The sequence below is a fragment of the Homo sapiens genome, chromosome 4 (genome assembly GCF_000001405.40).
Source record: "Homo sapiens chromosome 4, GRCh38.p14 Primary Assembly".
Taxonomy (NCBI): domain Eukaryota; kingdom Metazoa; phylum Chordata; class Mammalia; order Primates; family Hominidae; genus Homo; species Homo sapiens.
The window spans coordinates 65,247,086-65,261,609 of record NC_000004.12 but is presented as its reverse complement, the minus strand read 5'-3'; positions in this window follow the sequence as shown (position 1 = coordinate 65,261,609).

The following is a 14,524-nucleotide window of genomic DNA, read 5'->3' as shown; positions in this document are numbered from 1 at the left end:
CTATTGGTTTAATATTTCTCAAGAAATACAAAATATGTCTATGAAATATACATGGGTTGGAGCTGCCTGTGCCCAATCAGTATTCATATCGAAGAGATCTTGGGAATGGGAAGAAGAGAAAAAGTTTCATTTAAAGTGGTAAGGGAGGTTTCTAGTCCTGGGGAAATATTAAAGTACCTTATTTCTACCGTAATTATTTTACATACAGATTAGGATAATTTTCCTTTGTTGTAGAGAGTAGTGTAATACAAGGCTAAATTATTTGTGGAAGAGGGATCTATTGTTTCTTGAATGTAAGCTGAAGCAGTAAATAAAAGGATAAAATTACTCCCTGAAAATAATGATGAGCATAGTCATTTGTATTCCAAAATTTAGAAATTAATTTACTTAGTATTTCATAAAAATGTTAAAGTTCCCATGTCAAATAACTACTACTATAAAAAATATTGAGAAAAATAACAGAAAAATGTACTAAATATAAATGTAATTTTTAAAAAGTCAGTTCACTGTACATATGAAAAGATTCATGCAATCATCAGTAATGTTTATTAAAGGCAAGCTAGAGATACCATTTCTCCTCATTGACACTTTAACCCACTTTGATTAGTGAGGGCATATGGAAATAACCACCGTCATATACTATTGACCAGTGTGAAAATTTGCTCGACCTTACTGAAAGCCAATATGCATAAAAATTAAAAATGTGCATACACTTTGACCTAGCAATTTCACCTCCAGTGATTTATGCAAAGAAAAATAATCGGAAAAGTGCAAAGATGTACAAAAAATATTTTTCACATTATTATTTATGGCGTAAAAATAGCAACATCAACTAACATGTCAATTGAGAAAGGCTTGGTTAAATAAATTATGAAATCTCAACATAATATAAAGCAACGTTGTCATCATAAAGATAATAACAATTCTTTATTAACTCATGAAATAGTCACCATATAATGTTGGTTCAAAACAACCAGATTATAAAAAGTGGAAGTTTGATCTTATTTTTTGAGATGGAGGCATTGGGTATATAGACACACAAAATTATAAACAGAAGAAAGTGTGGAAGATTATGTAACAAATTGTTAAAAGCAGTTATGTCTGTGTGGTGGGTTTGTGGGCAACTTTTCCTTTAAAATCTTCTGTGTTTTCTGTTTTTTCACATCTGAGAATATGTTACATTTTAATTATAAATATATAATTTGCTAACATTTTAATACTGTTACACACACTCTCACACACATACATGTCCGAATGTAAGAGTAATTATAATGAACTGAATTGTTTATTTGATCAGACGAGAGAGAGAACAAATCTAAATGTTTTAAGCATCTATTTTAAAAACCCATAAATGGTTATTAACATTACCCCGTGAATTTTAAAAGTAGTTCACTCTACCTAAATCATTAAAATAATAAGATGCCCTAAGACATTGTATTCTCAATAACACAAGGCATGATCTATAAAAGTTAGAGAAATTCCAACTTGTTAATATTTAATCTGTTCAAATACAGAAGTAAATAGAGTAATAATGTAATTTTTTCTGTGGGGCTCAAAATTTAAAAAAAATGTGATTTAAAAAATATTTTAAAGCAAAAATCAATTCAAAATAAATTGGAATTAGAAACTTCTGAAGAATGACCTTACAAGATCTACTTTGCAGATTAATTTTCACTGATGTTATTGATAGGAATAAAATTTAAGCCTTCCACACAGCAACAATGTCTAAGTTCTTCTACATATAAACATTAGTAGAAAAATGCCATATTTAAAATTTATATTAGATTTATTGCGCCCAGAATCTTTTAGCTCCACAGAGTAATATTTCACTAAGTTATTTTCCAAGCATCTTTGGCAAAATATGTTTTAAACATCATTTTGAAAAATAGACTTTGGTTGAACAAATAACATTTTAAAATTTCAGCAACAGTAAGAGGTGGTAAAACTTAATTGTCACAAATGCTATTCTTTACTGTTCCTGCAAAGCCTCTGAGTGGTTCTAATTAGTAAATACATGTGCTTCCAAGAGTGCATTTTTAATAACACATTGAGTGCCAGAGGTCAGCCATTATTTACATAAAAATGGGAACTCAGATGGCAATGCAAAATCAGATGTTAATACAAAAGGCAAAATGTTAATAAGAGAGGCTTCTGGAACAAAAAACATTATCCTAATCCATTGAGTTCTTTTGATTATTCATTCTGTACACTTGTAAGTAGATTTAAATTACAATTAAAATAAAAAGCGATTTGGCTCTTGAAACGTCAGGGAGTAATGACGCTCAAGCCTTGACAACATCTACCACTGAGGAGAGAAAGAGAAATCAAGGACCATTATCATGGAGCCTGTGATCTAGAAGTCACTGAAAATGGTCTGATCATAGGTAGGTAAGGCCAAGTAACATTACTGTCTACATTAAGGTCTACATGTTTTGGGAATAAGTTGGAAGCATTAATAAAGTGTTCCCTAAATAAAGAAACTGAATATTTCACATGTGATTTCCTATTAAGTGGAAGTTTTAATAAAATTAATCTTCTCCTAGAACTTCAATTTGAAAATAGGCAATTTTACTGCTATAGAAGACTATTTTATTTTTACTAAGTCTCAAGCTTTGAAAAAATATACATAAATAATGTATATACATATATGTATATATATTACATAGTAAGCAACTCTAAACCACTTTTAAATGAATTACTTATAACTTTTTCTTTTCTAAGTTGCCGTGATGATCTTCTCTGACAATTGTTCAGTAATCTCACCATCCTCCAAAAGATCATGATCTAATTCAATTAGACTTGATAACAAACTGATCACAAACTGATCACACAAAATTTTCATTAACAAAGACCCAACTAATTTAGAAAATGCTATGTTTGATATTCATTAAAATTCTGTTTAGCTCCAATAGCAATTCTATGTTCAAACTGGTGGGTTTAGCAAATAATTATTAAAGGGAGAGTACACTTGTGACAAGATTATTATTATAAGTTTCCCCTCAGTCCTTGAAGATATAAACTCCTGACTCATTGTCATTTTCTCCAGTACATCTCCAGTCCAAACTCCTAATGGTTTGAATTACAATAAATTACTAATTACAACATGCATTGAGCAGTTTCTAGGGGCCAAACAGTCTCTTAAGAGTATTACATTACATTTCTCATTTATTTCTCATAGCAACACCTTAGGTTTGATTCTACTGTATTAGCATTTCCACTCCGCAGCCGAGAATTCTGGAAGTTAGAGAAGATTTTCCAAGGCCTCCTTGACAGGGACTTAACTCCAGGGAATTCAATTCTGTATCTTGTACACATAACCACCTTAGTGTATTACTTTTATAGGTTGATTTAATATTTTAATGAGTTAACTCATTAAATTACATAAATCTATTAATGTCTTAGGTGACATGTATTATTTTAAAATGTAATTTTTGAAATTACTCTTAAAATATTTTATAATTCAGAATGTTTTCCTTACTAATATTATCATTTTCATAACTGATAATTAATATAATTCTTTCTTGCATGTTTGTTAGGCTTTTAATAGTCAATATAAGGTGGGTTTACATTCTGTCATTAACTTCCTGTGTAAGCATGGCAAGTTACTTAATCTCTTTTTGCCTCAATTTCAATGACTATAAAATGGGAATGATAGAATTTCACACTTTATATGGTTTTGTGTGAAGTATCAAATGATTAGTTCATATAATGTACATGGAACATAGCACAACTTATTAAAATGTGATAAATACAGATTTTATTTTTATTATTAAAATGTTCCTTAAGTATTAAATGCACTTTTTACATTTAAAATTAGTCAAAAATTTTGTGGAACTAAATATATGTAAAGTATACACAAAGTATAACAAATTGAGGGCCCTAGAGGTTCATATGATCCTTGGAGAGTTTGCTATTCCTATTTCCTCTCAACTCTTACATTCACAGTTACCCCATCAAAACTTATCAAGACCATTTAGACTAATCCTATCAGACCCTTCTTCCCCTGTTTATGCAGGTCACACAAAATCCTAGGCTCCTGGGTCATCTCTCATAACCTGAATTCTTATCTACTGAGAAGCCCATGTGTCCCATAATCTGACCCTCATCTCCCACATCTTCAAATTTACTCTCTATGCTTCTCCATTCTGTTCTGTGTCCCAGATAGTGATTAACACAGGCTACATCAACAATTTTCTTGTACTATCCTCTGATTGGATGCAGTCAATGGGACTCAGTTATAGAAGATCTGAGAGAAAGAGAGAGAAGAGTGGGTTTGGTATATTTATTCCTCAAGCATTCTCCCTGTGAAGCTACTATGGGTTAGCATTTTCTAGATCAACACTTCTATCAGGCGGCTTCTTCACACAGTTTTTTCCCAATCTGTACATTCCTCCTCTTGCCCCCTTCAAGATTAGGAGAAAAAAATGATGCCCTGTTCTCACTCTCCCTTATGGTTTTCCTCCTTTAGACTTTTAAAAATAGTTCTTTCATTAAACGCTCCTCTTCTCAAGCTCAGATTGCTCAAGTCTGGTTAATTCCACCTCATGTAGGTAATTTGGCAAGCAAGAAGTTATAAAGTCATAAGACTGATCTCAATTTTTGGATCGCTAGCATTATCTGAGCCTATAACTCTTCTCAACAATCTTACAACATTTCCTTTTTTTGTTATAAAACAAAGTTATTATGCAATACTTTGTCATAATGAATAGCATCCTCTTTGGTAAAAATAAACTTTATAACCATTTTAATAATGAGAGATTAGATACAAAAACTAAGCATTTGTAAGTAGTGTTTGATATGAGCAAAGACTGGCAACTGGGAAGTGGTTCACTTGTGACTGGTCATCTACTGGCAGTTACAGCTCAAACAGGGACAACTTTTATGCTACATCAGAAAAGAGGATAAAGAAACAGTTTGATAACAAATTTCTTGAATCAGAAAGCATTCTTATACTTTTATTTAAAAATAAATAATAGTTACAATCAATTGGCAATTATACATTTTATACACTATATGATCGCAACATAATACTTTAAAATTAAGCCCTTAGTTTAATAAGAAATGTACAACAATTTAAAAAATAAGTTTTGACAATGGCACTGGCAGTTAGATGCAAAGAATATATTCTAGGAAAAAAAAATGACAGGTATAACATTAAAATACACTAATTTGCCTTTCAATACATATTTTTACTATATCATTAATATATTGAAGTAAACGGTTTAAATCAAAGCTTACACATTTCAAACAAACAAACAAAAACACTGTAAGATATATATAAACAGAAAGCCTCAAAGTTTCTTAAACAAATGCTGTGGTCTTCACACAGTGGTATTCAGTTGTTGTAGTATTTAAGACAATATTTCTTTAATTCATTACAGCCACTTACTCAGAGATTTTCTTTCCTCCTCAACTTCCAATATGTCCTCCCCATTCTCACAGTTGGAAAATAGAATTGATCCTACTAGCTCCTCTCCACACCTTAGCCAACCAACTTGCACCTCTACTCATTTCCTCTGCCTTTACTCGTGTTACTATAGATCTGTAGTAATCCTAAAGATTTTCAGGTTTATTTTCATTTGTGAAATGATTGGGGAAGGGATGATACTTGCTTTTAGAAAGCAGAAGCTAGAGCTGCTATAAAAACTGCAACAAACCCAACAGTCATACCCTCATGAAAGTGTTTTCTTGTATACCTTACAACTTTTAACTGTCTTGTCATTGATTCATGTATATAAAAATCTGTTACCTGTGTCTAGAATATAGCTCTGATTAGAAGATGAAGATAAGGAAAATTTTACCTGTCTTTATTACACAATGAATTTACAATTTATTTCATTCAGGTTGTATTCTTGAGATAAAATTGTACTTAGTTTGTTCAGAAAGTTACCAATAGTTCTTCACTATTTTTGAAAAATAAATCACCCCCAGCATCACAGCACATTATATTTGAGATAATTGAGTTTAAATACAATGCAATAGGTGACAGTGCATATCTGTACCTGTTATGTTAGTATGGATTTTCCTTCTCAGTACAACCATTTAACAACTATATCAGGTTTTCTAGCATAATCATGTTGTAGAAATTAAACTAAAGAATTATTATTGTGTTATAAATTAATGTCCTTTATTTCTCATTTTGAATGCAGATAGGGTATTATGCTGATATTTTAAAAATTAAATGCAAAAGTATTATGTTTTATAGAAATATAATTTTTACCTTTAGCCAGAAAATCTTTGCTTTCAATTCTTACACTGAAAAAGACTGAATTTTTTCTTTAAAAAGTAATTGGAAATCAATGTCCGAATTGACAACATTTCAGCAAAAATTTATTTAAGATTTTTCTTAGGGTTCTAGCTTTTTGATATATGATGATCTCAGGCCTTCCTAAACAGAAAGTGAGTACTCACCTATGTTCCAAAGTTTATTCAAAACAAGCAGAGGATGAGAGAAATGCCAAGGGCAATTAGAGTAGCCCCTCAGTTACAAATGGCTTCAGACTCTAAGATGAAGGATATGGTGTTCAACAGTGGAGTGTCTGCTAAAGTTGATTATTTTTTGGCATGTTTCATGCTTAGAGCAGTAACTGCAAGAACTATATAAATTGCTAATAAATGGATTCAAAGAGCTTAGGAAACGCAATGAACACATGAAGAATGATCATGCTAATTATATACAATGTCTGTTATACTACCTTGGAGGAATTTTAAAGCCTGTATACTTGAAACAAATTTCTAACACCTACTTATATATGATTTTGGGCAAGTTATTTAAAATTTTGAGAATCTATTTTCTAATTTTCATTATGGAGATAATAAACCTACCTCATGTGGTTGTTGTAAGGATTAAATGATTTAATATTTACTAAGTACTTAGAATAACGCCTTATATATAATAAGTAGGCAACATGTATTAGCTTTTCCTGCCATTATTCTAACCTGAAATTCTTCAAGTTATTTTAAACCTATTGTTAATATTTTTAAAGATTAAAGTGAATTTTAAAATTGTTTTTGTCTAAAGGTTTTTCTTTTAATTTGAAGGAAATAAAATCTGTAAGTTTTAAATATATTTGAATGAAGTATTTTATTTTTGGAGCTGTTTAATATATTGAAGTTCTCTAAATATTTGGATTTTGTGAAAGGACATTTTGTCCTAGAAATAAAAAATGATTAATGTGGAAAAATCAATACTACTCTATAAATCATGATTCTCTGTGTAATGATCAAAGATTAGTCCTCCAAGCAGGCTACTGCTTTTTCCACTGTCAGTGCCCATTGTAGCCAGCTTTCAAAAATGTAAGTAAATCATTAAGCAAAGTACTTCACTATTATTATTTGAGAAGTCCCATCCCAGAAGATGGGGTCTAATATTCACACTGTCTGATATATGAAGGCTTTAAGAAATGAAGGGGCCAGGCCTAGATGGAACCTGACAGTAAATACTGTTCCTGTCAGTCAGGCCCAAGCAGCCAGTTGTACTTGGGTGATTTTTTATATAATTAAGCTTCATGCTTAGCATAGGAGATGGATTTAATCAGCCCATGATTCACATTATATGTCAAATGATCACAGGTTGGCATACTGCACACAAAATGGCTCTTCTCATTCTTAACATCAATGTTGATATGGCATAAAGTAATAGATAATTCATAACAAATATCCTCCATTCATCCTCTCATATCTTTCTAGATTCTCCTTGTTTTCAAACTAAATATCTCTACATATTATAAGACAAGTGACTTCTAGCTGTGAAAATTTCCCATGGGGGCTAAATAACAAATTAACACTAGTTTGGGTAAAGGTTTCCTAATTAGCTGATCGAGGCTGTCAGGCCATGAGAGGAAGCAAACCACCATGATGTTCTTTAACACTTTGCACATTCCTCACTCATCATCCTTCCCTCCTCCCTGCTAATTCTCTCTGATTAGTTTAGAAGCCTTGAAATCAGTTTAGCTTTTATAAGGAAGCTTTTGTAAGTTGCAGTCTTTCTTTCCTAAATATGTTTGTTGTCAGCAAGCCAAAAGTACATTTACAATCTTCTGTAAGCTCATTTGAGGGAGATCGAGGTTTATAAGAAGGAGGCTATTTGCATATAAATTATGCCCAGAATATAAGGAGTGAAGGCTAAGAAATGCTATTATTTAAAAGGAAAATAGAGGTCAATCTGTGATGTAAAACATTTTTTAAAGTTTAGTGGGATTTGATGGTTTGTATTTCTTGCAGCATTACCAGCTGAAAGTTCAGGGTGGGAGTGGGGAGATTTTGGCAATCCGCAGAACTCCCAGTCAAGATTTTGTATAACATTTAATTGGAAATCAACATTCTTCTAGAGTGTATAATAAGGGATCTTGGAGATATTATCAAAAAGTTATTTTCCTGTTCTGAATAATAGAACAAATTCAAAATATTATGGTGCTATCAAGTGTATCTGGAAACTTACATATAATTAAAAATAACAAAACTAGTACTAAGATAAAAATATTCCATTAACTTAAAACAAGTATCCTATTTATTACTATACCAACACTGTAACATAATGATATGCATGGGGACAAAATATATTTGAGTATAAATTTGGCTTTAAGTAATCAGCAGTAGGTTACTTCTAAGGTCATGTTTGAAATGAACTATACAACTGATATTTTAAAATTTTTTTGATCAAGAATTGCAGCTGAAAAGACAAAACATTTTACCATATAGTGAGTGGTCAAAATTCCTAGAAATAAAACCATATAATTTCTATGGGACCCTATTCATGATGAAATTGAGCAGTCCTTTAGTCTTCCTGTCCTCATGTTACAAACCACGAGAAATCTATGACTTGATTACTGCAGGTCTTAGCTGTTTATGTAAAGAACCAACTGAGTAATTTGTTTCTAATGAAGAAAATAAAGAAAGAGGAAATGAAGACATTTTCAGGGTATAAAGACACCTTGCTAATGAGATAACGCCTTGGCTAAATTAAAAACCTCAACTAGCCTAATGACATTTAGATTTGTTCTTTGTTCATTTTTCTATGTTTGCTCTTCCCTCATCTCTCCAATCTTTCACTGACTTTTACATGTTCAAACCAGTGTGATGAATGGATATTTTATTTTGATATAATGATGAGATGTCATATGAGATGTATTGGATGCAAAGTACTGAGAGTGATTAAGCTACAGAGATTTAGGGCTTGTTTGATATAAAAGAAAACTTTTATTTATTTATTTATTTTTGACATGGAGTCTTGCTCTGTCGTCAGGCTGGAGTGCAGTGGCACAATCTCGCCTCGTTGCAATCTGGACCTCCCGGGTTCAAGTTATTCTTCTGCCTAAGCCTCCCGAGTAGGTTAGATCAATAGGAAAGAAGATGATTTGGATAATTTTGAGATTGACTTGTAAAAAAGAATCAGTTATTTCAATTGCATTAGTGATTGTGGAATTTGTAAACTTCATACCACTTCTTTCATTTGAAAAGAGATTATTTTAATAATGTGTGAGTGTTTGAACAAAAAAAGGTTCACAAATTAGTGAGTTACAACAAATTACACACTGTTATTAACTTTAATAGGCCCCCAAATTTCCTCAGTATAAATTTTTTATATTTATTTATTTATTTTTATTTTTATTTATTTATTTATTTATTTATTTATTTTAATGGAGTCTTGCTCTGTCACCAGGCTGGAATGCAGTGGCGTGATCTCAACTCGCTGCAACCTCTGTCTGCCAGATTCAAGCCATTCTCTTGCCTCAGCCTCTCAAGTAGCTGGGACTACAGGCATGCGCCACCACACCCAGCTAATTTTTTGTATTTTAGTAGAGACGGGGTTTCACCATGTTGGCCAGGATGGTCTCCATCACCTGACCTCGCAATGTGCCTGCCTTGGCCTCCCAAAGTGCTGGGATTACAGGCATGAGCCACCACGCCTGGCCTCCTCAGTATAATTTAACTCTTTTTGAGGTGCTCATCCACTGTTCAATGTCCTTTTTTTTAACTTTTAAGTTCAAGGGTGCAAGTGCAGGTTTGTTGCATAGGTAAACATGACAGGGGGTTTTGTTGTACAGATTATTTCATCACTAGGTATTAAGCCTAGTACCCATTAGTTATTTTTCCTGATCCTCTCCCTCCTTCTACCTTCCACCCTCCGAAAGGCCCCAGTGTGTTACTCCTCTCTATGTGTCCATGTGTTCTCATCAGTTAGCCACCACTTATAAGTGAGAACATGTGGCATTTGGTTTTCTGTTTCTGTTAGTTTGCTAAGAATAATGGCTCCATCCATGTCCCTGCAAGAAACATGATCTTTTTTTTAATGCACACTTATGTTCATTGCAGCACTATTCACAATAGAAAAACATGGAATCAACCTAAATGTCCATCAATGATAGACCGGATGAAGAAAATGTCCTACGTAAACACCATGGAACACTGTTCAAGTAGTTTTCCTGATAGTACCACCTCACTTAAATCCATACAGCAACTGTTTAATATGTATTGTGTGCAAGGCCCTGAGCTAGATGATGCAATAACTCAAGATGATAAAAGGTAAGAAAACATGTAATGCTAAGACATTTCCCTAAGGCTAATCTATCCTATTTATTAATATTATGGCATATGAGGCCTTCAATTATCTAATTCTTGCCTAATTTGGGAACTCTTTTTTTTTCCACCAAACTCTACACTGCATTATAACCAAATACAGTGGAATTATTTTAGAAACGTGCCTCCTCCTTACCTGTATGCCATATCAACTAAGGTTCTTCATTCCCTCTATAAATCTTTCTAACGGAATCTACAATGTGAATTATTATTTCACTTACAAATCAATACTTAGGTCCCTTTCTGGTTAGCTTGATCCTTGTCAATAGTATATAATTTTTGTTTTCAAATTTTTATGCAGCTGTGTCTTATTGCTATTTCAATTTAATTAACTATTGAGTAAATTAATGAAACATGTGTGAGAAAAGGCCTTATTTCCATGAAAACTAAATGAAATGTTTCAGAAAAATGATAAATGTGAGTTATTTAAGTGAAATGGACAACTATAAAAGACAGGGGAAATTTCAAGCTTATGATTATCTTTACTCTCCAGCTCCATTCAAAACAAAAACAAAATTGAGGAACATAGATTATGAAGTGTGGGTATAATTTATGAAAAAAATTAAATTAATTTTTAACTTGTAGATCCCATACTCAAAGTCCTGAATAAACACGTGCATATATTTGAAATTAAAATGAAATGTTTAATTTATGACTGATTTGTTTTCCCTTTTATGATTTCTCACAATAATGGATTGTTAATATTAACTGAAAAACAGGAGATCCCAATGGCTTAAGCTAAAGGGTGCCTTATGGTCTCATATGTTGATGTCTTTACATAGGCATTCTGTTGGCTCGTTGACTTGAAAAACATCAATTTTTCTCTTTCCTTGACACTTAATTTTACTACTTGTCCATTGTCCTTCTTCCCCTTTCCTATCCTATGCCTGGCTAATTCCTACATAATTTTGGGGAACTATCTAAGACATGATATTTATGTTAACTTGTTAACAGTTTGTGTGTGTGTCTGTGTATTCTATGCACAGAAAATTATACTCAGGTATTTATTTTGATGTAAAATTACATTTTATTCTATTAATTTAAATTATTAAACTTAAAACTCCATATTTTAATTAAATGCTTATTTATACCTTATAAATATTACTGTGCTATTTATAAAACTAGAAAATAGTAACACTTACTTTAAGTGGTCTTTTGATTAATATTCATTCTAAAAACTTAGATAAATTTGCTAAAATTTTAAACTACATTTACATATGAACACATCTGGTTTTCTTATTAAGTACGCTAATAAATCTACTCAAGTACTTAAATAATACTTGTGAATCTAACAAATTAAACATATAAATATTTTTACTATTAAGTTCATTTAAGTGCTCTAGTAAAGTATATAACCTGACTAAAATTTCAATTTATAATAATAATTACACATAACAAATGGCATAAAATATTTTCAGAAGAGCTGTTACTCAATTAAGCTAAATTCTCTCAAGTATAGTAAATGTTAATAATACCAAATATTCATAGAATATTCCTTAACATAAAAGCAGTCCTTATGTATGCAATCAATTTTGTTATTTCTGTACTGAATTTTAAATCTTTCTGTGAGTAACATACACAAAACCACCAAGGAACAATTATGTAGTCCTCTGCTATGCAGAGGACTACAAACAGAGGACACCCATTCCTCCTGTTTGTTCACACTCTAATCTCTGGAACCTGTGAATATTTATCTTCCATGGCAACAGAGATTTTGCAGATGTGATTAAGGGTATGGACTTTGAAATGTTCTGGTTTGACCCAATCTAATCACATAAATCCTTAGAAGGAAGAAGCTTTCCTGGCTGGGTCAGAGAGACATATAACAAGAGAAGAAGGATTAGAAAGATATGACAGGAGAAGGACTCAATCCACTTTTTCTGACTTTAAAAATAGGAGGATGGCACAAGCCAAAAACTGTAGGTGTCTAAAAGCTGGGAATGTCCCTCAGCTGAAACCCAGTTTTATAATCACAGAAACAGAATTTTGCCAACAACCTGAATGCATATGGAAATGGATTCTCCCTGAAACTCAACAGAAAAAAATTCAGCCCTGCTAATGTTTGATATGAGCTTCATGAGGCCTGTGTGGTACTACTGACCTGCAGAACTATAAAATACTGTTAATAATTTTCTCTTGTTTAAACCACTCAATTAGTAATAATATGTTACAGAAGCAATATAAAATTAATACAAGTCTCATAAAAGTTCTGAAGATAACACCTCCAATGATTTGTGCTGCATACTTGCCAGAAATTTAAGGCAGGTTGTAAAAGCTAAGGAACAAATCTCTGGTGCAGTTTTTGTACGTGTTAACTGCCATGATGAAATGTCCTCTACCATGTCTACAACCATAAGTGATTTCAAGTCAAAAAAGAGTAGTCTTATAGTGGATACTTCATAATTCATGTGACAGTCTAACCCTCAAACCTCCTGTTGCTATATGTCTTGATGGAACTCAACTAATATGTTTGTTACTCTAGTATATAATACATTATTTTAACATTCTTGTCATAAATTTTATATATTTTTAAATGATGGCTGATTAGATTCTGTATATCTCCAGAAGATATGGTGTCACAATATGTAAAATTTTTGTAACAACAGTCAGGAAGCTTTCAGCAATTGACACTTTCCTCCCTCCCACACGCCACCACATAACTGCTCTTGGCCCCTCATATGTAATTCCAGAGAAAACAACCTGCTCTATACTTCTGCCGTAACACTTAATCACTCCATGTCTTAGTCCATTTGTGCTGCTATGACAAAATACCTTAAAGTAGATAATTTATAAAGAACAGAAATTTATTTCTCACAGTTCTGGAGGCTGAAAGTCTAAGACCAAGGGACCGGCAGGTTTGGTATCTGGTGAGGGTCCTGTCTCTGCTTCCAAGATGGTACCTTGTTGATGTATCCTCTGGAAGAGACTAATGTTGTGTCCTTACTCACATGGTGAAAAGGATGAAAGAGCAAAAAGGCCTAACTAGTTCTCCCTTCGCTCATTTATAAGGCACTAATCCCATCTATGAGGGCAGAGCCCTCATGGCCTAATTTCCTTCTAAAGGCCCCTCCTCTTAATACTATTGCATTAGGGCTTAAATTTTAACTTGAATTTTGGAGAGGACACAAACATGCAAAAAATAGCATCCCAAGTGGACTAAATTTAGTAAGATTTATATTAATCAAAATGGTATATCTAACAGATGTAAATTGTATTTTCAGAAAAAAGAGAAAAAAAGGTTTAAAAAATTTGTCCTTTTGATGTTTTCAATCACTTTTTTTATTAGCAGTTTCTTAACGAGATATGATATGCATAAATGAAGTTCATCCCTTTTGGACTGCTGTACGGTAGCAAGAACAGTGAAGGATCTGAGGAACTTCAATTTTACCTGACTTGCAAGCTTACAAGCTAGCTTGCCGCAGTTTCATTTATGCTTGCAGAAGAGGCTCCTGGATCAGAAACAAATAATTTTATTACTCACAACAGTAGCATTTGCTCCAGTTTGCTGAGCCACAATCACCACAATACAGTGCAAAGAGGGCCAGATGGTACTTGCATATGCAGTGGTGGGGTGGCGGGGGCATTACAAGAGAAAAATCCCTTATTTCGAGAACTTGAATATTTTATAATGGCAGTAAGCCTTTTCCCAGAAGGACACCTTACCTTTCTTATACTGAATGGTAAACCAACATCCTTTCTAGTCTAAAGGGATAAACTATTTCTCCTTTATGAAATATTTTGTTCTAAAAATATTCCTGAAAAGTTTTTCAGAAAAAAAGAAGCCAATGCCTCTGTCTGTAAGACATTCAGAAACATGAAAGGCCCATGGATAAATTGTCTCTTAACAATAAACCCACCTTGTTGCTGTACCATCTTGACTTCCAGTGACTTTTCCCATGAGTACACTATTCCATTGACCACTCTGATTAATCTGAAAACAGAAGCT